Raw genomic sequence first — 24,964 nt, 5'->3', positions numbered from 1 at the left:
CATCAGAAAATACCTGAGATGAGGTCCATAAAGAATGATCTGGCTGGGCACGGTGGCTCATGTCTGTAATCCCAGCACTTTGGGAGGCCAAGGTGGGTGGATTGCCTGAGGTTGGGAGTTTGAGACCAGCCTGGCCAACATGGCAAAACCCCGTCTCTGCTAAAAATACAAAAAAAATTAGCCAGGTGTGTTGGCACATGCCTGTAATCCCAGCTAATCGGGAGGCTGAGGCACGAGAATCACTTGAACCTGGGAGGCAGAGGTTGCAGTGAACCGAGATCACACCACTCCACTCCAGCCTGGGCAACAGAGTAAGACTGTCTCAAAAAAAAAAAAAAGAAAAAGAAAATACTGATCTATTCTGAGACAGGTTTCCTGCCTTTCCACCTGTGCTAACTCCTTTCTGAACCAAACCTTCTCTGTCATACAGTTTGCAGCAAGTGTTCAGTCTCTGTAAGTGAAAACTCCTCATTGGAGCTTTCCCCAGGACCCTTTTTCTGTCTATATGTGAAAAATAAAATTCTAACAAGAATACTCTCAGGCCTCAACATTTTATGAGATTATTAACTAGCATTTCAGTGAAATTATCAATTCTGGTTTTACACCATGACTGAAAATCTCAAGTACTTTACATAAAATTCATCAACAACCTGAGCCTAATTTACCATTCAGCCTGATAATTAATGAGCTGCAAATACTCATCTCCTGCCACATGTTAGCTGCTGCCTCAATCTTACATTTTAATTGGGCTTTCTTTCCTATCTCATTATTAAGTATTGATGAACTTTTAAAAGTTTTTTTTTAAAAGAAAAGTTAAGAGACGGTGACAATTTTCTAAATAATGATGATGATAACAATGGCAGCAGAAGTTACAACAAGCAACAGCAGCTAACATTTACTGAAGGCCTTGGCTAAGGGCTTCACATACCCTGTCTCCTTTAATCCTCACATTCATGAGACAGGGAGTGTCTCTATCATCCTCATTTTGTGGAAGAAACTGGAGCTCTTGGAGGGAAAGTAATTTGCCCAAGATCAGACAGCTATTAAAAGACATAAGCAGGACTTGAATCCAAGTTTGTTGGATTACAAAACACAACACTTAATGACACTATCTTAAAGAGATGAAGTATCTCCATAGGTAAAACCATCACAATAGTAAAAAATGATTGAAACAAGGAAATATAAAACTACTTAAAGATTTTTAAATTTTTAAAAATTTACCAATATATACAAATAAAAATACTTAATATATTAAAATTTAATATAACATAAATGTTAAATATAAATAAATGTAAAAATATGCTTAAATATATTTAAGCAATGAAACTTATTTTACTGAATTCCTCTATATAGCTTAGTTTTATAGTGAACACTAGACTTTCCCCAAATTTCTGTAGTGCTAGAAAGGGAATATCTTCAATATAGAAAGTGGTTAGCATCTATCTACTAGAGTAATACTTTCACTGTTTTAGTTAATCTGAATGCCTGGTGTTATTGTATGTTACGAGAATGACAATATCATTATCCTAAATGGTTATCTGTTTTTGGAAATACTGATTCCAATGATACAACATGAAAACCACCTAAAAGCTGCTTTCCTTTCATTTTTCTGACACACGCCATATTATCATCCTCACAGCATCAGTGACAGTTCCAGTTCCAAGTGTTTCCATGGCAACTGCTTTGGGAAAATGGAAACTAGCATCAGTGAGCAGTGACCTAATACTATAGCAATAACTCATCCATGTCATGGACTCTTTTTCCCTTATACATTTCCATTAATTTTAGCAAGATTTTTGCAAACTGATTTGGCTCACAACACTTTCCTAAAAGTGTTTTCTTTTTTTTAAACTAAGGTTTTAGCAACCACTTGGTCTAAAAGGATCTCACTATTCAAAACATAATCAAACTGACTTGTAAAGGCAAGGGCACATTTTCATGTGGTCAAAGATTTTTATTATTTGACTTGGAGCTGGTTCTCATATTCAACTGGATTTTATAATTATATTAAAAATTATTATTTTATAGAAATATCAAGACAAATATTTCATTTGCTGAATCGTAACAGCCCTGAATATATCAGATGTAATTCCTCCTTTGATCATGGAACTGATATAAATACATTCATCTTCTGGATTAGAATATTCTGTTAAACTTGGTTCAAGATATTTAGATCCATTTTCCAATTGTTGACAAAATTTTTACCTTTCAATGAAACATTTATAAAAGGTATGCCTCTTATCATTCAACAAGGGTAATTTATAGCTGGACTATGGCAATTATTATTAAATAATAACATAAAATATCTACGACATATTTGGGTCAAGATTTTTCTGTTAATCTGCTTTGCTTCTTCTCAATTGCTTCTAGTCTCTATTTTCTACATACACGATTTATCCTAATTTTCAAAACCTATGTCCCCATTTTCTTAAAAGTCAGCATTATACCTTTCATTAAATCCATATCTATGACATACTGTCTTCAGTATAACCTTGAGGCAAATGGAGCTACTGAGACTTATTAAATATTTTATAGAATGTGAGATAATAGATAAACTTGAAGCCTGGAAGGTTCGGTTCAAATTACCTAATTTTGAAAATAAGGAAAGTATTCACCATTCTTAAAAAGATAAGTACCTAAGGCATTTTATACATAGCTCCTAATTATTTCATAAACTCCAGTGGGAGCCTCAGAAAACTGGACTTGCAGGGAGAGACAATAAGATACAATAGCCCTTACCTCCTGGAGGTGGTTTGTTTTTGGAGGTGAGGATGACAAAGCCAAATCCTTCATTTTCTTTTCGTTGCAAGACAACATCATAGGGCTCCTGGGGTGCAGGCCTGGCTGGGACCTCTGCCCGGTTCAGGCGGGGAGATCCATTCTGTGTTGAAATGAAGGCCTGAGAGCTGTCGTCCTCGGGTTGTTTTTCTGTAATAAACATGATCAGTTTTGATATGTCTGGAACATCATAATTTCTGGTGACTAAAGTGTTTTTATGCTAAGCCTCTCACAGAAAAATTCAGTTTCTAATAACATAAAGAATAGAAAAGCAGCCCCACATGTGAGCTTCGGGTATAATCTGAGTGCAGATGTAGGCAACAGCAGTCCATCCGACTTCCCAAATACTCAGAGTGGATTACTGAAAAATACATACAATCTCATGTTATCTCATTTTTTTTTTTCCCCGAGATGGCGTCTTGCTCTGTCACCTAGGCTGGAGTGCAGTGGCGCGATCTCGGCTCATTGCAACCTCTGCTTCCTGGGTTCACGCCATTCTCCTGCCTCAGCCTCCTGAGTAGCTGGGATTACAGGTGCCCACCACCATGCCCGGCTAATTTTTGTATTTTTAGAAGAGATGGGGTTTCACCATATTGGCCAGGCTGGTCTCGAACTCCTGACCTCATGATCTCATTTTAAAGGAAGCTTTTCAAAGTTTCTGTGAGATTTGATAGTAAAAAAATTCTTCCTAAAACTGTTTTAGTTCCATCAAGTTTTATAACATGGACCAATAATTTTAATGAAACACATAATGAGGAATGACACATGAACTTCCTTTTAAAATCAATTATAAATATAATTTAGCTCAGTGACTGATATTCATTGATGTCTGTCTTAGAGGTTAAAGCATCAGGGCAGAAATGCTGCCCCATTATAACAGTTTGCTACCTGTACAGGATTTGTCTTATATGATGTGTTTTGCAACTGCAGTTTCCTGAGTGATGATATAAGATGAGTTCATCATTAGCAGTTCTCAGCCTTCAACCTCCCCAACCTCCACCCCTCAACTTGCTGGGACACATAACAAGCTGTCCACATGAATAGCAAACACTTCTGGGCATAGACAGGGTCATATGAAATTCCTGACAAATGGCCAATTAACCTACACCTTTTTCTGCTCTTCAAGGATGACATCAGAACTTGAGAATGACACAAAGTCCTAACTGATTTTTTAAAAAGGGCATATTTTTTGCCATAATTTGGTACAAACCATCGTTAATAATAACCACAACACACTGCAGTCATGTCCATATTTATAAGGTCTCTTTCTGGCTGAAAATTCACATGGTTTTAAGAATATGTTTTTTTCTTTTTTTTTTTCAAAATGCATAGTTAGAATGTATTAGCTAAAATGTCTCCAATAATACCAAACTACTATGAAACTTCTTCATGATTCTTTCCAGGGAAGAGCGTAGGTTGTATAACATCACAATTTTACTGTAAGTAGTTACATTTGGCCTCCAACACAACCAAATTGAGGCAGTACTGCATTACAATCTATATGCATTCTAAATGCCTGGTATTTACCAAAGGAGGCAGGCCTTTACTTTGAATGTTGCAATAAAAAATACAGTGCCTCATTTTTAAGAGTGATGTAAATATTCATCCAATTAACAACATTTATTAATGTCCACTTTGTACCAGACAGGCACTCTTTTAGGTGCCGAGCTTACAGCAGATAACTACACAAATAAAAATTCATACCTTCATGAGGCTTATATTCTTGTGCTACAGAGTTGTATTTTTTTAATTTTAAAGTGGAAAGAATTCACTTATAAGAATTTCTATTTAATTATTCATAAAGCTACTGGCGAGAAACTATAAGAGATATTCATATCCTAATGCTATGGTTTAAACCCTGATCTCTGAATTAAACTGCAACTTTTAATCCAGGCCCTACCTCTTACCAGTTATTTGTTTCTCAACCTTTCTCTGAGTAATCATAGAACTAGATAATGACCTCATAGTGTTGTGAAGATTAAATAAAATAATCCATGCATCTAGGACATAGTAAGCACTCAATAAATGTTAAATTATACTAAAACTTCTCAAGTAGAAACATCCTACTTTCCTTTAGTAGCTCAGATTTCACTGGGATCCAAAAATCTTTGTATATTCAGCTAGTGGGATATCTTGGTATGACTAAATAATTTTGTATTTGTTATTTAAAAAAAAACAAAACAAATTTAGGCTGGGCACAGTGGCTCACGCCTGTAATTCCAGCACTTTGGGAGTCTGAGACAGGTGGATCACTTGAGGTCAAGAGTTCGAGACCAGCCTGGCCAATGTGGTGAAACCCCGTCTCTACTAAAAATACAAAAATTAGCCGTGTGGTGGTGTGTGCCTGTAATCCCAGCTACTCAGGAGGCTGAGGCAGGAGAATCGCTTGAACCCAAGAGGTGGAGGTTGCAGTGAGCTGAGCTCATACCACTGCACTCTAGCCTGGGTGACAGAGTGAGACTCTACCTCAACTCAACAAAACAAAACAAAACCGGATTTAAATCAATACTCCCACCTATAATACATTTGCAAAATGCATCAATATATGAAAATAATCTTAATATAGAAGCCCAAAATTTATTTTTTTATAGTAGTATTATTTCTGAATCCTTTTGTGTTTGCATAGCCTTCCACAGTGAGGCCCTGGATCACACCAAATGGGTTATCTTAGATACTACTGAATGTAATAAAATAACCTGCAAAACTACACAGGAAGTAGACTAGTATCTTTGTTTCTTTTTTAACTTTTCAGAGCAGGAACAAGTTCACACACCTCCATAGAAGATCTTCCGTCTGACAGTTAGTAACACATGGCCATTTCGAGCAGCAGTTGTCATGAGGTCCAAGACTTGTTTGTGTGATTTCCCTTTAACAGGAATTCCATCAATGCACATTAGTTCATCAGCTGCGCGGAGCCGACCATCTTTCTCAGCTGCTCCCAGGGGAATAATAGCCCCAATATATATCTGATAAGATAACAAAGTACAGTTTGGTCCACAGTGTAAAGTTTAGCTGAAGAGTTAAGGAATTCCTAACTTAGCATTGTGCAAACCAACAGATTTTTGCAGTTCAACTATGAAAACAGTTATATTTTAGAAAGGTATTATCTGAGAAAGTGCCCATTCTCCAAAATGGCACTTCAAATAACCACATTGTATTATGTAATCCCTTATAGATCCTCAGGGCTGTGTACAAAGAAAATAGAAAATACAAAGTTGTTCGATAACTCAAAAAGCACAACCATTATCCCTATCATTACAATGAAACAAAACACTAAACTCAGAAAATATAAATCTGCAGAGTAGCTATTAAAAGTCTGTTCAATGTCATCAGGCAAGATTTTCTACATACTGTTCACAGCAACTGGGATCATTCTCAACAGTACTCCCATCACATATGACTAACGGTACAAGTTCAATATACACAGCACAGAGACATTTCTTGTTTCTAAATCTCAGCGGGAACAGAGTGGCCTGAAGCTTCACTTGCATCTAGGTGAACAAATCTGGTTCATTTTGCTCACCAGCATTAGAATCCTGTAATTAGGCAATCCTGAATGTTTAGGCTAGTTTCAGAGCTGCTAAAATCTGACATTTAAGAGAAAAGAAAGGTTTCTTCTAAGTTGTTTGAGACAAATTCTTAAAATGTCTAAGTGAACATTATGAGTATCAACAAAATAGGAAGCAATAAAACAAAAATACAAATACCAAGAACAATTAAAGTATCTAGTATTTGTTCTACATAGGGCAACCTGCCTTAAGCTTTATGTGTCTCCAATGACTGTTGTAACTGTAACCAATATGACCAATTAGAACAAATTTATACTACATAAATCAAATGTTCTATTCAGAAATAAGAAGCCTGTAATTTTTAAAGATTATTGTTCTTCACCTAACTTCCAACCATATTTTTTGATATATAATATATTGATATTATATAAAATAAAATGCAAATATGTTCTTAAAAATGCTACAGAACACATTACTTCTTTGTTATTCAAACCAAGAGCAAAACTTAGAAACAAAACCCACTACATTTGTTCTCTAAAACAAGTTTATGTGAGAATCATGTGTAAACAAAATCCTAGACTTCAAATGCTTTGCAAATATAACCCTTATGCCTCTGGACAAAAATATTAATTATTTTATATTCCTCTAGTTTCAAAGGTAACAGATGAAATGACATGCAAAGTACTGAGCATGAAAATGCCAACCTATTAATAAGACGAGGTGAAACAATATGCACAGGCTCATGCCAACCATTTATGGAGCATCCAGAAGATAGAGTAATAGTGGGAAAGAGGACATGGGATTATAGGCTTCTTAGAGAAGGAAAATGTCTTAGACTCTGTTTAATGAGGGCAAAGGAAAATATAAACTTAAAATAAGCTTTATGTAGTTATTCACACAGAGAAGTAAATAAATTAATCACTGTCTAATTTGCAGCTGACATATTCAGTTTTTACCCACAGTTTTTAGCCTCAGCTACACCACAATAACTGAGGGACTATGATAATAATGGAAATGCAGTTATTCTTCATATTAATGAAACTGTCAGAGAAAAAAAAACTTAAAACACACCATAATCCACCAAATCACCACTCAAAACGTTTGAACAGGAAACAGCCATGTTCCAAAGAAGTGACACTTACAGACTGGTCAGGTCCATCTCCTCCTAGCACCCTGAAGCCAAACCCTGACTCTTGTTTTCGAAGAAAAACATCCAAATCTTTGGTGTTTGGTGCTGAGGAAAATCAGAAAATATAAATACTATGATTTATTTTAAAAGGATTAAAACAAAACAAAGTTCAGTATTTAGTAGGATATTATAGAGTAACTCAATAAACTATAATCTCAGAACTTTTTAATATGGAAAATTTGCACAAGAGTGTAACACACACACACAATTCAACTATAAATCCTCGTTTTGAGCTCTAAACAAAACTGTATGAAGACTGTTTAGAAACATTTACTCTCACTTCCATATACTCAGTATTACACTGCCATTAACTTCTAATGCTGTCCAATCAATATAACAATGTTGAATTCAGAATGATCAAACTTGAGTTTGATATTTGACAGGTGCAAATGACCTAAGTTAACACTTGGGTAAGGTACATTAAATCTGTACAGGCACTGCTGTATAGAGTGCCTGTAAAATACCTTATTCCTGCTCTCAAGCTAATACCTTTCTCTCAGAAAAGTATTCCATATGAACTACTTACCTAGCCTAGTTTTGCAAAATGATAGCATTTTAAAGGAAAATAATTAAGAGCTAACATTTATTATTAGCCCCATTTTCTAGGTGGGAAAACTGAGGGTGTAAGTAAGTTGGCCATTGTCACATAGCAAGTGGTGAAGCTAAGATTTAAATCCAGGTTGATTTCCAGGGTCTAATCTCCTAACTCATACTGTCCTACCCTCAAAGGGTAGGTTGTATTCCTTAGAATATTAAGCAGGAGGATTGCTTGAACCTGGGAGGCAGAGGTTGCAGTGAACTGAGATCGTGCCACTGCATTCCAGCCTGGGCAACAGAGCAAGACTCCATCTCAAAAAAAAAAAAAAAGAATATTAAGTCACAAAAATCTATTTCATGACTAAAATTTTTCCTTTGGGAAAATATTAATGTTATTTATAGGTAAGAAGTATTTACTGTAAAGAGAGAAGAAATAAACATGTCAGGGAACTATGTAAAAAGTGAGATTAGTAAATTCCTGATAATATTCTATAGAAGCAGTATCTTTTGATATATACTTCCTATTAAAATTGTAGAACTTTAGAGATTAAAAGAGTCCACTTTGGGAGGCCGAGGTGGGCGGATCACGAGGTCAGGAGTTTGAGACCAGCTTGACTAACATGGTGAAACCCCGTCTCTACTAAAAATGCAAAACTTAGCCAGTCATGGTGGCATACGCCTGTAGTGCCAGCTACTCAGGAGGCTGAGGCAGGAGAATTGCTTGAACCTAGGAGGCAGAGGTTTCAGTGAGCTGAGATTGTGCCACTGCACTCCAGCTCCGGGTGACAGAGCAAGACTCTGTCTCAGGGGAAAAAAAAAAAAAGAGTCATCAGTTCAACTCACTTATTTTATGGGTGAAGCCTGATGGGACTGCAGAGTTTATACCAGTATTAATAATGTATCAGGCTATGAATGGAAAGTATGAAGAAAGGGATTCTACATTGTTATGCTAATTTAAATTATTGCTTTGCTGGGCGTACAACTGGTTTTCATCTTTCTGAATATGGCTTGGGATTATCAAGATGTACTTCTGCAACTAGTTAAATAAGCATTAAGTCAACTATACATATATTCCACTTGTACATATCTTTTCCAAGGTAGATTTACATCTCTTTCTAAGAACAAATAAATTTTAAAAAATTATACCTACTCAAATCTGCAATTTTACTTTGGAAAAGATTTATCATTAGTAAGTGAATTAGTAGGAACATGCATGAATTTCTGCCTTATGCAGTCTCTCTTTTTATCTCTCAGCTGGACTCCTGTAAGGAGTCAACTCTTTAGTTTCTTCTTCAAATTGCACACCCTCCCTCAAATTGCATACACCTCTGATTCATCCTTCATACTCCTGCCAGAAAAACCTTTCTAAAACACAAAACTATGCCTTCCTTATAGTTAAAGGCATTCTGTGGTTCTCTGTTATTTATATGACCAACTCCAGCTCCCTTGGAAGGGCATCATTGGCCTTCCTCAATCTGTTCCTGCTCTCCTCTGTGACTTTCCTTGCCAATTGCACCCAGCGAAAGTGAACTACTTGCAGAGCCCAAGTCATGCAAGGCCAGTGTGCATGTGCTATTCCTTCTATCTTTCCCTTTTATCTTCCTCAAAGACACTTTTTCATCCCTGATGACTTAGTTAAAGCTTTGCTTCCAGTATGAAGCTTTTCCTGACACTTCCTACTGCCCACACTGATAAAACTGAATATTCCTTCTTTGGATCCCAATTTATCCATTTCATCTTTCTATCACTGTACCTGTTAGGCTTATTATGTGTACTTATTTGTATACTATTTGATTACATATTTGTCTTTTTCCATTTAGTTCTAATAATATTTTTGGGTGCAGGTCCTATGTAACCTATTTATCTCTGTATTCTGGTTACCTAGTATGGCATCTGGTAGATAACTAGCACTTAAAGCATGATTTTGAAAAAAATGAATGTGTGAATGTCGAATATACATGGAAGAAGTCCAGAGTTCTATTAAAATGGTAATGAAGGAATAACTTTTCAATATGCTTCTGAAAGATGGGAAGGTCCTAGTCTAAAATAAATCCAAATTTATCTTGTTATATGCTCTCCTGAAATATTCCACAACTACTTACGTTTATCTTCATATAAAGTCTTAGATTTCAGGTAGACCTCAGAAGGATCCAATTTTGGGGATCCTGACCTGATAATGCTCGGTGGAAAAGGCATAGGCTGAGGAATAGGCTCATTTATGGCCTCCAAACTTCCTGCATTTTCCTTTTTATCTGTTTTCTGAAATGGAAAAGAGCCTTACTTAGTATTTTTTAAAAAGCAGATGGTTGATTAATTCATAAAACTGATATCTGAAATGGATATGTCAACTGATTATAGTTGTATAGGTGGCAGGATCAAAGACACAGCAGATTTACAGTTACAGGAATTCATTTTCATAGCAATGTGTATTTGGTTGAAACATATTTAACTTAAATTAGAAAAAAGTTTATAGTAATATCAACTGAAGAGCCTTAGTTAGTCCTATGTTTAAACAATTTTGCCCTTTTCTCCACCACCAAGACACAAATTGACTTTGAGATGAAGATAAATAGAAATACAATACAAGGCAGCACTTCTAAGTAAAGTAAGAGGGAGATTCAGAGAATATCTTCATAAAATTCTTAGCACGGCCCACCTCCCATTCACTGAGTTTAATTTCTAAGGAAGATGTTTAAGATAATACTCTTTCTAAGAAAACAGGAGAGGTTAACTCTAATTTAGGTTATAAAGATGGCACTGTGAAAACCCTGTCTGGCCAATTCACATATATTAAGAGAAAATGTACCATGCAAGACAATTAGATAAGGGAAAGCATAGTAGCATATTTTGATATTTTTCCTATTCAGCTAGAACTTTCCCAAGATAACAGCCAAGCAAAATGACTTATTTAATAAAATGTTAACAATGAAATCCAATAAATGGCCTAAGAAATATGGTTTTGAGACCAGCTCGTTTTCCTGGATTATTGTTAGGAGAGGGAGATTATGGATGTTTGTGATCATTAACAATGACTAGAATGCAGGGGCACCAGTCTGTCAGGGAGTAATCAGGGGTCAGCCACTACAAAGTGTCGTGCTAGAGGGGACCCTTCAATCACCCAGACCCAATGAGAAGGCAGAGAAGCTAACAGTAGTCTCCTACCCTTCCCCATACATCTTAGCATTCTGTCAGAGGCGGTTAAAGTTCATCAGACCCTTCCATCAATTATAAAGCATTAGGGCCACTGCGACTGCAGTGGCATCCATTATGAAATAAATATGGTGGCACAGGAGTTAAAAATGATTACTAGAGGAACCAGAGAAATGTAGAATACAGTGCAATTTGAACTGAATGGACAAAAACAATTTCTGTTCACACTGGACCCAAGTAGTATAAGCAGTCAATGAAAAGGGCAGAAGCTGGCCGGGCGCAGTGGCTCATGCCTGTAATCCCAGCACTTTGGGAGGCCGAGGTGGGCAGATCACCTGAGGTCAGGAATTTGAGACCAGCCTAGCCAATGTAGTGAAACTCCATCTCTACCAAAAATATAAAAATTAGCTGCGTGTGGTGGCGTGCACCTGTAATTCCAGCTACTGGGAGGCTAAGGCACAAGAATTGCTTGAACCTAGGCGGCAGAGGCTGCAGTGAGCCAAAATCACACCACTGCATTCCAGCCTGGGTGATGGAGTGAGACTCTGTCTCAAAAAAAAAAAAAAAAAAAAGGCCAGAAGCTGAGGGATTCTTTTTAATCTATAAAACAGCAAATTTGCAGAGGATTCCTACTTGGTGGGCTAGAAAGAACTAATTCATTTAATATAATTGTCTATAGTTTATGGTTATGGAAGGCCATCTTTTGATTTTGAGATAAAAGACTCCAAAGGAGCAAACTAGAACTAAATTAGAATTTTAAATAAAATTGTCTTTATATCCAAAACATTGTGGATATTTAAATAGCTACAAATGTGCACCTTGTAGAGTTTCTTCCACAACAGCAGCATTTGATGCACTCCTTTTTAAAGTTCTTATTCTCTGCACAGGTCCTTAAACAGGCTACGTGATTATTTAGAAGAATGCCAAAGAAGACACTGTTTCAGGTCTTTCACTTTGACAACAAGCAAATTTAGCATAGAAGGCCACAATTACTCTAGAAAGTCTTGTTTAGTCAGCCGGACGTGGTGTATCATGCCTGTAATCCCAGCACTTTGGGAGGCCGAGGCGGGCAGATCATGAGGTCAAGAGATTGAGACCATCCTAGCCAACATGGTGAAACCCTGTCTCTACTAAAAATACAAAAAAATTAGCTGGGTGTGGTGGCGTGCACCTGTAGTCCCAGCTACTTGGGAGGCTGAGGCAGGAGAATCGCTTGAACCCCGGAGGCGGAGGTTGCAGTGAGCCGAGATAGCGCCACTGCACTCCAGCCTGGGCGACAGAGCAAGACTCCGTCTCAAAAAATAAATAAATAAATAAAAAATAAATAATAAAAAAATAAGCCTAATTTAGTCTTAAAAGTAAGAAGATTATCTAAAGGTGCATGCATATTTATAGTCCCCACAAAATTATGTGAACTAGTACGTCTTCTCTTCAGGCAGGGGCAAGACGATGTAATAGTTTATCATCTGTCTTAACATTTAGGTCCTTCCTACCTTGTTTCTCTGAAACACAAAAGTAAAAAGACCTCTAGGTTGGTTCTTTAATGTGTTCACATTTTATAACTTAGAGAACAGGATTATTGGTACAATAGGCCTTTAGTAATCCTCCAGTTGCAATACTTAACCAGTGGAGCACATCTCCTCACTAGGGGGCTTTTTCAAACGCTTCCCTAGTTTCTAATAAATACAAGCCAAGGGCAGCATGCCTCCTAACTTCTCCCAGTCGATAATCATCACCACAGTGAGCTCCTCTTACAGAGGGGAATGTGGCATCTCTCTCAGTGTGTTGGGGAAAAGATTTGAGGACCAGTGTATACTCACCATTTTGGCAGTTTTGGTTGGTGAAGGAGGACCTTAAAAAAAAAATGAACCAAAGTTTAAAACCAGAGGATGCATTCCCAGATCACAAATACTGCTAATGTTTACGATAAAACTAGCTTCAACTTTTAGTACGCTAGTAAATTCTGTGTCTAACCTCCTATGTACCAGGCATTATACATATATTATCTCATTTCATTTTTATAACAATCTGAAGGCACAAATGTTATGACCATCTTACAGAGAAGGTAAACTAAGATTCTTTCCTATACCAAAGAACCAGTAAGTGGCAAGGCAGGAAACTGACATCAAACCTGTGTGACATTGAACTTTGGTGTCTTTGTTATACTTGTTGAAGCCCTGGATTACTCTCAAGCACTCACAAAGAGATTTCTACCTTACTTGGAGCACATTCCACCATCACTCAGAGAAGAAACCCATGTGAATCAAAGAAACGAGAATAAGAAACAACTCCCAAAGAAGCTGAAGTGCTCGTTTGCCTCAATAGTGAAAAGTAAAATCCAGAGAGATAAAAGAGTAAGTGGCTTTTATTCTTTAAGATACTAGTCACTTATAAGTATGGATTTAAGAAAGCATATTAAAATTCAACTTTGTGATTATTCCTTGGAACTGAATTTGTAAATGTCTGGGAGGAGTTCATGTCAGCTGATGACCTTGGAAAATAAAAATTATATTTCTCTCACATAAGCACTGTGTGGTTTAATTAACATTTACAGTCAGATACTAGAGCTTAAGATGAAAACTTTATGAGCACATGCTATCATGATTGCCTCTGCAGAACAGATTAATACACCATCCAACATTTTACTTATCCACAGAGATGCTAGCTCTTTCAAAACATCTTTGGTGCATTACAGAGGTCCAGATGACACACCATTGGTTGAAAGAGTCAATTTCTATTACTGTCATCAACAGAGAAATGAAATTAAGAGGATGTATTTCATTTGAAGTATCACAATGCTGTGACTCTCTCTAATCATTAAAGCCATGAATCAGATTTTCAAAAGAATACAGAGGGAAATAAATCCATAATGGACATGAATGAAATCACTAATAATTTTTTAAAAACTGCTGAAAAAGACACTGCTTATGGAAACAATCAGACAGAACCTTAAGGAAAATGCACACTAATTACTAGTTAAGTCTGCTGGGAAAACACATTCTAAACTGTAAGGAAAGACAATCAGTAGATATAAACGCTTGAACACTGAAACTTTTTCTATGTTGTGCTTTTACTTACCTCCTCTTAAGATAAGCAATGGTACATCAGCACCTACTGGAAACTGCTTTAGCACCTCTACCACTTGGAGATGTGTTAAATTCTGCACATTTTGATGGTATATTTCCTTAATTATATCTCCTTTCTGAAGGCCTTGACACCACTGACTATCCAGTATCATTTTCACCTTCTGTCCAGTAGGGCTGTCAGCAATTGCAAACCCAAACCCTTTAGGGCCCTTAATCAAAGGGATAGTCACTAGTTCAGGCTGGGAGCTGCCTGACGATGCCATGGATACTCTCTGCTCACTTGCATCTGATGGTCCATTGAGACCATCACCAGTCAAAGTGTGTCCCGATTTTCCATTCTGCTCCAGAACCATTGCTCCTGGCTTAAAATCCTGAGGATTCATGCAAGTCTCTCCCTTGGTTAATGACTGTCCATTGATGACAGGGGTAGCAGCAACAATGTCCACAACAGGATCTTCACTGTCATCAGGAAGTGGATAACCACGACATAAAGTGAGGTTTACATACTGATTGACAGGTACCAATTGAAACATCTGGACAACATCTGCATGAGTGTGACCGAGGACACAGTTGCCATTGATGTCTACAATAACATCGCCTGGAAAAACATAATCATGTTAAAAATATTAAAATCAACAAATAAGTTAATTTTTTTGCTAGAGGGGCAAAAATAACTACAATTTAGCAACTAAATTTGAATTTTGGAAACCTCTATTAACTGCTGAAAAGATAGATTTCTAACACAGACCTTCTCCCTTTTCTAACTCCTCTCTAAAATGTATGTATAAATGTCTAAAATCCTACTTATTTCAGTAGCAAAGAATTTTGACTTCAAGCTCAAGTGAATCATTAAAAAAAAAACCCTGATAATTTATATTATCATTGTTAGTATACCCTCTGAGTCATATCTAAGTATCCATGCAAAGCTAGGCACATTGCAGTAGGTATTTAGTACAGAAGCAAATAACTCCACTGACTACTTGTACAAACTGTATTATATTTTTTGAATAAATTAATTTTATTTATATATCTGTATGTATGTATATATACATACACTGAAAAAGACGCTGTCCTTAACCAAACTCTAGACAGGTTCCTCTGAGCTCTTTTTTCAGTAGGCCTCATCCTTGGCATGTCCTCCAGAGCCCAGCTTTAGCAGGAATCCTGCTAAGTTGGTTTAGCCAGAATCACCCACTCTTGATATATGATCTAAGTCCTCATTCCCCACCATTCTCCAGGTGATTACCTGATCACCTCAGCCTGCATTCAGCAAGAATCCTGTCAAGTTCCTATAGCCCCTATAGCCAGAAATCCTCCTCCACCCCTGATATATATATAGATTTATATATATCTCATATATATTTATATATCATATATATAATATATATCTCATATATATTTATATATCATATATATAATATATATCTCATATATATTATATATATCATATATAATATATCATATATATTATATATATCATATATATTATATATCATATATATTATATATATCATATATAGTGTATATATATTATATATCATATATATATTTAATATTATATATATTTATATATATGATATATAAAATATATCATATATAAATATATATATATTTAAATTTTACTTTAAGTTCCAGGATGCAAGTGCAGAATATGTAGATTTGTTACATAGGTATAAGTGTGCCATGGTGGTTTGCTACACCTATCAACCCGTCATCTAGGTTTTAAGCCCCACATGCATTAGTTATTTGTCCTAATGCTCTCCCTCTCCTCGTCCCCCAACCCCCGACTGGCCCTGGTGTTTGTTGTTCACGGCCCTGTGTCCATGTGTTCTCATTGTTCAACTCCCACTTATAAGAACATGCAGCGTTTGGTTTTCCGTTTCTGTGTTAGTTTACTGAGGATGATGGCTTCCAGCTTCATCTATGTCCCTGCAAAGGACATGATCTCATTCCTTTTTATGGCTGCATAGTATTCCATAGTGTATATATACCACATTTTCCTTATGCAATCTATCATTGATGGGCATTTGGGTTGGTTCCTGTCTTTGCTATTGTAAATAGTGCTGCAATAAACATACGTGTGCATGTGTCTTTATAGTAGAATGATTTATATTCCTTTGGGTATATATCCAGTAATGGGATTGCTGGATCAAATGGTATTTCTGGTTCAAGATCCTTAAGGAATTGCTACACTGTCTTCCACATTAATTGAACTAATTTATACTCCCACCAATAGTGTAAAAGCGTTCCTGTTTCTCCACAGCCTTGCCAGCATCTATTGTTTCTTGATTTTTTAATAATCACCATTCTGACTGGCGTAAGATGATATCTCACTGTCATTTTGATTTGCATTTCTTTAATAATCAGCGATGTTGAGCTTTTTTTCATATGCTTGTTAGCCACATAATTGTCTTTTTTTGAGAAGTATCTGTTCATATCCTTTGTCCACTTTTTGACAGGGTCAGTCTATCTTTAAATACCACCTTATTTCTTGAGTTTAAGAAGCCACTGGCTGGGCGTGGTGGCTCAGGCCAGGCGCAGCGGCTCATGCCTGTAATCCCAGTACACCTGAGGTCAGGAATTCGACACCAGCCTGGCTAACATGGCGAAACCCCATCTCTACTAAAATACAAAAAAATTAGGCCAGACGCGGTGGCTCACGCCTGTAATCCCCGCACTTTGGGAGGCTGAGGCAGGTGGATCACCTGAGGTCAGGAGTTCAAGACCAGCCTGGCCAACATGATGAAACCCTGTCTCCACTAAAAATACAAAAAATTAGCTGGGTGTGGTGGTATGTGCTATAATCCCAGCTACTCAGGAGGCTGAGGCAGGAGAATTGCTTGAACCCAGGAGGCAGAGGTTGCAGTAAGCCGAGGTCGCAGCACTGCACTCCAGCCTGGGCAACAAGAGTAAAACTCCATCTCAAAAAAAGAAAAAAAATTAGCCAGGCATGGTGGCGTGCGCCTGTAATCCCAGGTACTTAGGAAGCTGAGGCAGGAGAATCACTTGAACGCAGGAGGCGGAGGTTGCAATGAGCCGAGATTCTGCCATCGCACTCCAGCCTGGATGACAAGAGTGAGATTTGGTCTCAAACAAACGAACAAACAAACAAAAAAACTAAACAGGTGGGAGCCGAGATGGCCGAATAGGAACAGCTCCGGTCTACAGTTCCCAGCGTGAGCGACGCAGAAGATGGGTGATTTCTGCATTTCCATCTGAGGTACCGGGTTCATCTCACTAGGGAGTGCCAGACAGTGGGTGCAGGATAGTGGGTGCAGCGCACCGTGTGCGAGCTGAAGCAGGGCGAGGCATTGCCTCACTCGGGAAGTGCAAGGGGTCAGGGAGTTCCCTTTCCTAGTCAAAGAAAGGGGTGACAGACGGCACCTGGAAAATTGGGTCACTCCCACCCGAATACTGCGCTTTTCTGATGGGCTTAAAAAACGGCGCACCAGGAGATTATATGCCGCACCTGGCTCGGAGGGTCCTACGCCCACGGAGTCTCACTGATTGCTAGCACAGCAGTCTGAGATCAAACTGCAAGGCGGCAGTGAGGCTGGGGGAGGGGCGCCCGCCATTGCCCAGGCTTGCTTAGGTAAACAAAGCAGCCGGGAAGCTCGAACTGGGTGGAGCCCACCACAGCTCAAGGAGGCCTGCCTGCCTCTGTAGGCTCCACCTCTGGGGGCGGGGCACAGACAAACAAAAAGACAGCAGTAACCTCTGCAGACTTAAATGTCCCTGTCTGACAGCTTTGAGGAGAGCAGTGGTTCTCCTAGCACGCAGCTGGAGATCTGAGAACAGGCAGACTGCCTCCTCAAGTGGGTCCCTGACCCCTGACCCCTGAGCAGCCTAACTGGGAGGCACCCCCCAGTAGGGGCAGACTGACACCTCACATGACCGGGTACTCCTCTGAGAAAAAACTTCCAGAGGAACGATCAGACAGCAGCATTCACGGTTCACGAAAATCCGCTGCTGTGCAGCTACCGCTGCTGGTACCCGGGCAAACAGGGTAGGGAGTGGACCTCTAGCAAACTCCAACAGACTTGCAGCTGAGGGTCCTGTCTGTTAGAAGGAAAACTAACAAACAGAAAGGACATCCACACCAAAAACCCATCTGTACATCACCATCATCAAAGAACAAAAGAAGATAAAACCACAAAGAGGGGGAAAGAACAGAGCAGAAAAACTGGAAACTCTAAAAAGCAGAGCGCCTCTCCTCTTCCAAAGGAACGCAGTTCCTCACCAGCAACGGAACAAAGCTGGATGGAGAATGACTTTGACGAGTTGAGAGAAGAAGGCTTCAGACGATCAAACTACTCCGAGCTACAGGAAGAAATTCAAATCAAAGGCAAAGAAGTTAAAAACTTTGAAAAAAATTTAGACGAATGTATAACTAGAATAACCAATACAGAGAAGTGCTTAAAGGAGCTGATGGAGCTGAAAGCCAAGGCTCGAGAACTACGTGAGGAATGCAGAAGCCTCAGGAGCCGATGCGATCAACTGAAAGAAAGGGTATCAGTGATGGAAGATGAAATGAATGAAATGAAGCGAGAAGGGAAGTTTAGAGAAAAAAGAATAAAAAGAAATGAACAAAGCCTCCAAGAAATATGGGACTATGTGAAAAGACCAAATCTACATCTGATTGGTGTACCTGAAAGTGATGGGGAGAATGGAACCAAGTTGGAAAACACTCCGCAGGATATTATCCAGCAGAACTTCCCCAACCTAGCAAGGCAGGCCAACATTCAAATTCAGGAAATACAGAGAATGCCACAAAGATACTCCTCGAGAAGAGCAACTCCAAGACACATAACTGTCAGATTCACCAAAGTTGAAATGAAGGAAAAAATGTTAAGGGCAGCCAGAGAGAAAGGTCGGGTTACCCACAAAGGGAAGCCCATCAGACTAACAGTGGATCTCTTGGCAGAAACTCTACAAGCCAGAAGAGAGTGGGGGCCGATATTCAACATTCTTAAAGAAAAGAATTATCAACCCAGAACTTCATATCCAGCCAAACTAAACTTCATAAGTGAAGGAGAAATAAAATCCTTTACAGACAAGCAAATGCTGAGAGATTTTGTCACAACCAGGCCTGCCCTAAAAGAGCTCCTGAAGGAAGCACTAAACATGGAAAGGAACAACTGGTACCAGCCACTGCAAAATCATGCCAAATTGTAAAGACCATCGAGGCTAGGAAGAAACTGCATCAACTAACGAGCAAAATAACCAGCGAACATCATAATGACAGGATCAAATTCACACATAATAATATCAACTTTAAATGTAAATGGACTAAATGCTCCAATTAAAAGACACAGACTGGCAAATTGGATAAAGAGTCAAGACCCATCAGTGTGCTGTATTCAGGAAACCCATCTCACGTGCAGAGACACACATAGACTCAAAATAAAAGGATGGAGGAAGATCTACCAAGTAAATGGAAAACAAAAAAAAGACAAGGGTTGCAATCCTAGTCTCTGATAAAACAGACTTTAAACCAACAAAGATCAAAAGAGACAAAGAAGGCCATTACATAATGGTAAAGGGATCAATTCAACAAGAAGAGCAAACTATCCTAAATATATATGCACCCAATACAGGAGCACCCAGATTCATAAAGCAAGTCCTGAGTGACCTACAAAGAGATTTAGACTCCCACACAATAATAATGGGAGACTTTAACACCCCACTGTCAACATTAGACAGATCAACGAGACAGAAAGTCAACAAGGATATCCAGGAATTGAACTCAGCTCTGCACCAAGCAGACCTAATAGACATCTACAGAACTCTCCACCCCAAATCAACAGAATATACATTTTTTCCAGCACCACACCACACCTATTCCAAAATTGACCACATAGTTGGAAGTAAAGCTCTCCTCAGCAAATGTAAAAGAACAGAAATTATAACAAACTGTCTCTCAGACCACAGTGCAATCAAACTAGAACTCAGGATTAAGAAACTCACTCAAAACCGCTCAACTACATGGAAACTGAACAACGTGCTCCTGAATGACTACTGGGTACATAACGAAATGAAGACAGAAATAAAGATGTTCTTTGAAACCAACAAGAAGAAAGACACAACATACCAGAATCTCTGGGACACATTCAAAGCAGTGTGTAGAGGGAAATTTATAGCATGAAATGCCCACAAAAGAAAGCAGGAAAGATCCAAAATTGACACCCTAACATCACAATTAAAAGAACTAGAAAAGCAAGAGCAAACACATTCAAAAGCTAGCAGAAGGCAAGAAATAACTAAAATCAGAACAGAACTGAAGGAAATAGAGACACAAAAAACCCTTCAAAAAATTAATGAATCCAGGAGCTGGTTTTTTGAAAGGATCAACAAAATTGATCGACCACTAGCAAGACTAATAAAGAAGAAAAGAGAGAAGAATCAAATAGATGCAATAAAAAATGATAAAAGGGGATATCACCACCGATCCCACAGAAATACAAACTACCATCAGAGAATACTACAAACACCTCTACGCAAATAAACTAGAAAATCTAGAAGAAATGGATACATTCCTCGACACATACACCCTCCCAAGACTAAACCAGGAAGAAGTTGAATCTCTGAATAGACGAATAACAGGCTCTGAAATTGTGGCAATAATCAATAGCTTACCAACCAAAAAGAGTCCAGGACCAGATGGATTCACAGCCGAATTCTACCAGAGGTACAAGGAGGAACTGGTACCATTCCTTCTGAAACTATTCCAATCAATAGAAAAAGAGGGAATCCTCCCTAACTCATTTTATGAGGCCAGCATCATCCTGACACCAAAGCTGGGCAGAGACACAACCAAAAAAGAGAATTTTAGACCAATATCCTTGATGAACATTGATGCAAAAATCCTCAATAAAATACTGGCAAACCGAATCCAGCAGCACATCAAAAAGCTTATCCACCATGATCAAGTGGGCTTCATCCCTGGGATGCAAGACTGGTTCAATATACGCAAATCAGTAAATGTAATCCAGCATATAAACAGAACCAAAGACAAAAACCACATGGTTATCTCAATAGATGCAGAAAAGGCCTTTGACAAAATTCAACAACGCTTCATGCTAAAAACTCTCAATAAATTAGGTATTGATGGGACGTATCTCAAAATAATAAGAGCTATCTATGACAAACCCACAGCCAATATCATACTGAATGGGCAAAAACTGGAAGCATTCCCTTTGAAAACTCGCCAAGACAGGGATGCCCTCTCTCACCACTCCTATTCAACATAGTGTTGGAAGTTCTGGCCAGGGCAGTTAGGCAGGAGAAGGAAATAAAGGGTATTCAATTAGGAAAAGAGGAACTCAAATTGTCCCTGTTTGCAGATGACATGATTGTATATCTAGAAAACCCCATTGTCTCAGCCCAAAATCTCCTTAAGCTGATAAGCCAAAAGTCTCAGGATACAAAATCAATGTATAAAAATCACAAGCATTCTTATACACCAATAACAGACAAACAGAGAGCCAAATCATGAGTGAACTCCCATTCACAATTGCTTCAAAGAGAATAAAATACCTAGGAATCCAACTTACAAGGGACGTGAAGGACCTCTTCAAGGAGAACTACAAACCACTGCTCAATGAAATAAAAGAGGATACAAAGAAATGGAAGAACATTCCATGCTCATGGGTAGGAAGAATCAATATCGTGAAAATGGCCATATTGACCAAGGTAATTTATAGATTCAATGCCATCCCCATCAAGCTACCAATGACTTTCTTCACAGAATTGGAAAAAACTACTTTAAAGTTCATATGGAACCAAAAAAAAGCCCACATTGCCAAGTCAATCCTAAGCCAAAAGAACAAAGCTGGAGGCATTACACTACCTGACTTCAACCTACTACAAGGCTACAGTAACCAAAACAGCATGGTACTGGTACCAAAACAGAGATATAGATCAATGGAACAGAACAGAGCCCTCAGAAATAACGCCGCACATCTACAACTATCTGATCTTCGACAAACCTGAGAAAAACAAGCAATGGGGAAAGGATTCCCTATGTAATAAATGGTGCTGGGAAAACTGGCTAGCCATATGTAGAAAGCTGAAACTGGATCCCTTCCTTACACCTTATACAAAAATTAATTCAAGATGGATTAGACTTAAACGTTAGACCTAAAACCATAAAAACCCTAGAAGAAAACCTAGGCATTACCATTCAGGACATAGGCATGGGCAAGGACTTCATGTCTAAAACACCAAAAGCAATGGCAACAAAAGCCAAAATTGACAAATGGGATCTAATTAAACTAAAGAGCTTCTGCACAGCAAAAGAAACTACCATCAGAGTGAACAGGCAGCCTACAAAATGGGAGAAAATTTTTGCAATCTACTCATCTGACGAAGGGCTAATATCCAGAATCTACAATGAACTCAAACAAATTTACAAGACAAAAACAAACAACCCCATCAAAAAGTGGGCGAAGGACATGAACAGACACTTCTCAAAAGAAGACATTTATGCAGCCAAAAAACACATGAAAAAATGCTCACCATCACTGGCCATCAGAGAAATGCAAATCAAAACCACAATGAGATACCATCTCACACCAGTTAGAATGGTGATCATTAAAAAGTCAGGAAACAACAGGTGCTGGAGAGGATGTGGAGAAATAGGACCACTTTTACACCATTGGTGGGACTGTAAACTAGTTCAACCCTTGTGGAAGTCAGTGTGGTGATTCCTCAGGGATCTAGAACTAGAAATACCATTTGACCCAGCCATCCCATTACTGGGTATATACCCAAAGGACTATAGATCATGCTGCTATAAAGACACATGCACAAGTATGTTTATTGTGGCACTATTCACAATAGCAAAGACTTGGAACCAACCCAAATGTCCAACAATGATAGACTGGATTAAGAAAATGTGGCACATATACACCGTGGAATACTATGCAGCCATAAAAAATGATGAGTTCGGCTGGGCGCGGTGGCTCACGCCTGTAATCCCAGCACTTTGGGAGGCCGAGGCGGGCGGATCACGAGGTCAGGAGATCGAGACCATCCCGGCTAAAACGGTGAAACCCCGTCTCTACTAAAAATACAAAAAATTAGCCGGGCGTAGTGGCAGGCGCCTGTAGTCCCAGCTACTTGGGAGGCTGAGGCAGGAGAATGGCGTGAACCCGGGAGGCGGAGCTTGCAGTAACCCTAGATCCCGCCACTGCACTCCAGCCTGGGCGACAGAGCGAGACTCCGTCTCAAAAAAAAAAAAAAAAAAAAAAAAAAAAAAAAAAAAAAAAATGATGAGTTCATGTCCTTTGTAGGGACATGGATGAAATTGGAAATCATCATGCTCAGTAAAATATCACAAGAACAAAAAACCAAACACTGCATATTCTCACTCATAGGTGGGAAGTGAAGAATGAGAACACATGGACACAGGAAGGGGAACATCACACTCTGGGGACTGCTGTGGGGTGGGGGGAGGGGGGAGGGATAGCATTAGGAGATATACCTAATGCTAAATGACGAGTTAATGGGTGCAGCACACCAGCATGTCACATGTATACATATGTAACTAACCTGCACATTGTGTACATGTACTCTAAAACTTAAAGTATAATAATAATAAAAAAAAAACTAAAAAACTAAACAAAACAAAAGCCATTGCTAACAATGTACTTTAAAAATTCATTCTAGTTTGACAAATTTTGAACTGAAGATTAGAATGATGTTAATTTATGAGTGTATTTTCTTGTAGTATCCTTCTTTTTCCAGCAATTTTGAATTTGATGTATAAATCAGATTTCAAAAGGTGAAACAAGCAACAAAAAATTCAACAGAAGCAAACAATGCATTATTGAAGACACTGACAAGGCAGCTTAATAAATCCCTCTAAAAGTTGGTTTTGCTTTCCTGATTTGACATTAGTAAGACTATTTTGGTTGTAGAATCATTACCAGTTGACGGTCATCAGTTGGGTATTTTTTAATACAGTCTTGACTTAAAATTTGGCCCCTGTTGTCTCATCAATTAGCTTTTATTTGAATATGATTATTTAAAAGGTTATTGCCAAACAAAGGTGCTTTAATTTGTTCTGATGGCTTTTAAAAAACTCAATCTGGTATTAAAGCTCCCAGAATTTTCACGGAAATATTGTATTGCCATGCAAATTAGATAAGCATATTAGGCAAATATGAAACTACATTTTGAAATCCTGACAGCATACACAATAGCTAAGACATGTGTTTCATGGATAAAATGTTGAAAAGGTCAAAACTGAAAACAAAAGAACCTTACTATTAATTTTAATCTCTAAAGTTTGTTAACTTTATAAAGTAATAAAGTAGAAAAAAATAATTTTCTTTACAAGTATAACTTGATTATTTTAAGTTTTCCTGTTTTAAGTTTTTGTTACCTCAATGGGAAAGCATAATATGAGAGATCAAAAAATACTATGACAATTCAACCATCTGAATGTTGGTCCATATTTTCACGGTATGTGAAATAACAGAGGATTAGAAAAGTCTAGCAAACACTGCAAAAAGCAACCTCAGTATTAATACTAAAATCTTTCTGGAAAACAATACTTAAACTTCCCCCCGCAATCAGAAACTAGTCTTCAACCTTCTCCAAGTTCCTGAACCACAAACACTCCCAGCCATATTAAAATATCCAGCAATTACCAAGTAAAGGCTTTAGGAAACTATAGAAAAGACAAGTTTACACTACTTTGTAAAAATGGT

General features: G+C 38.1%; 1 protein-coding gene across 5 annotated transcripts in view, besides 1 other annotated feature; it reads right to left on the bottom strand.

Annotated features, from left to right (window-relative positions):
* The window catches only part of MAGI3 (membrane associated guanylate kinase, WW and PDZ domain containing 3), a 295,409-nt gene that overhangs the window by 29,166 nt on the left and 241,279 nt on the right, over positions 1 to 24,964 (bottom strand). For all 5 annotated transcript variants that reach the window (XM_017000974.2, NM_152900.3, XM_005270737.4 and 2 more), the window contains exons 10-15: positions 14,242 to 14,847; positions 12,984 to 13,015; positions 10,116 to 10,272; positions 7,430 to 7,521; positions 5,552 to 5,744; positions 2,740 to 2,928 (exon numbers count right to left, since the gene is read on the bottom strand). In XM_017000974.2, coding sequence (XP_016856463.1) covers positions 2,740 to 2,928; positions 5,552 to 5,744; positions 7,430 to 7,521; positions 10,116 to 10,272; positions 12,984 to 13,015; positions 14,242 to 14,847 — 1,269 coding nt within the window. The remainder of the gene's footprint in view (positions 1 to 2,739; positions 2,929 to 5,551; positions 5,745 to 7,429; positions 7,522 to 10,115; positions 10,273 to 12,983; positions 13,016 to 14,241; positions 14,848 to 24,964) is intronic.
* Positions 17,593 to 18,094: an enhancer, noted in NCBI's record as "NANOG hESC enhancer chr1:114181286-114181787 (GRCh37/hg19 assembly coordinates)". NCBI's record gives its function as "activates a minimal SCP1, AML or CMV promoter by ChIP-STARR-seq in primed H9 embryonic stem cells {active_cell/tissue: H9 hESC(primed)}" and the evidence as "EXISTENCE:reporter gene assay evidence [ECO:0000049][PMID:30033119]".

This window comes from Homo sapiens, chromosome 1 (genome assembly GCF_000001405.40).
Source record: "Homo sapiens chromosome 1, GRCh38.p14 Primary Assembly".
NCBI classification, from domain to species: domain Eukaryota; kingdom Metazoa; phylum Chordata; class Mammalia; order Primates; family Hominidae; genus Homo; species Homo sapiens.
This window is presented reverse-complemented; position numbering and strand designations above follow the sequence as displayed.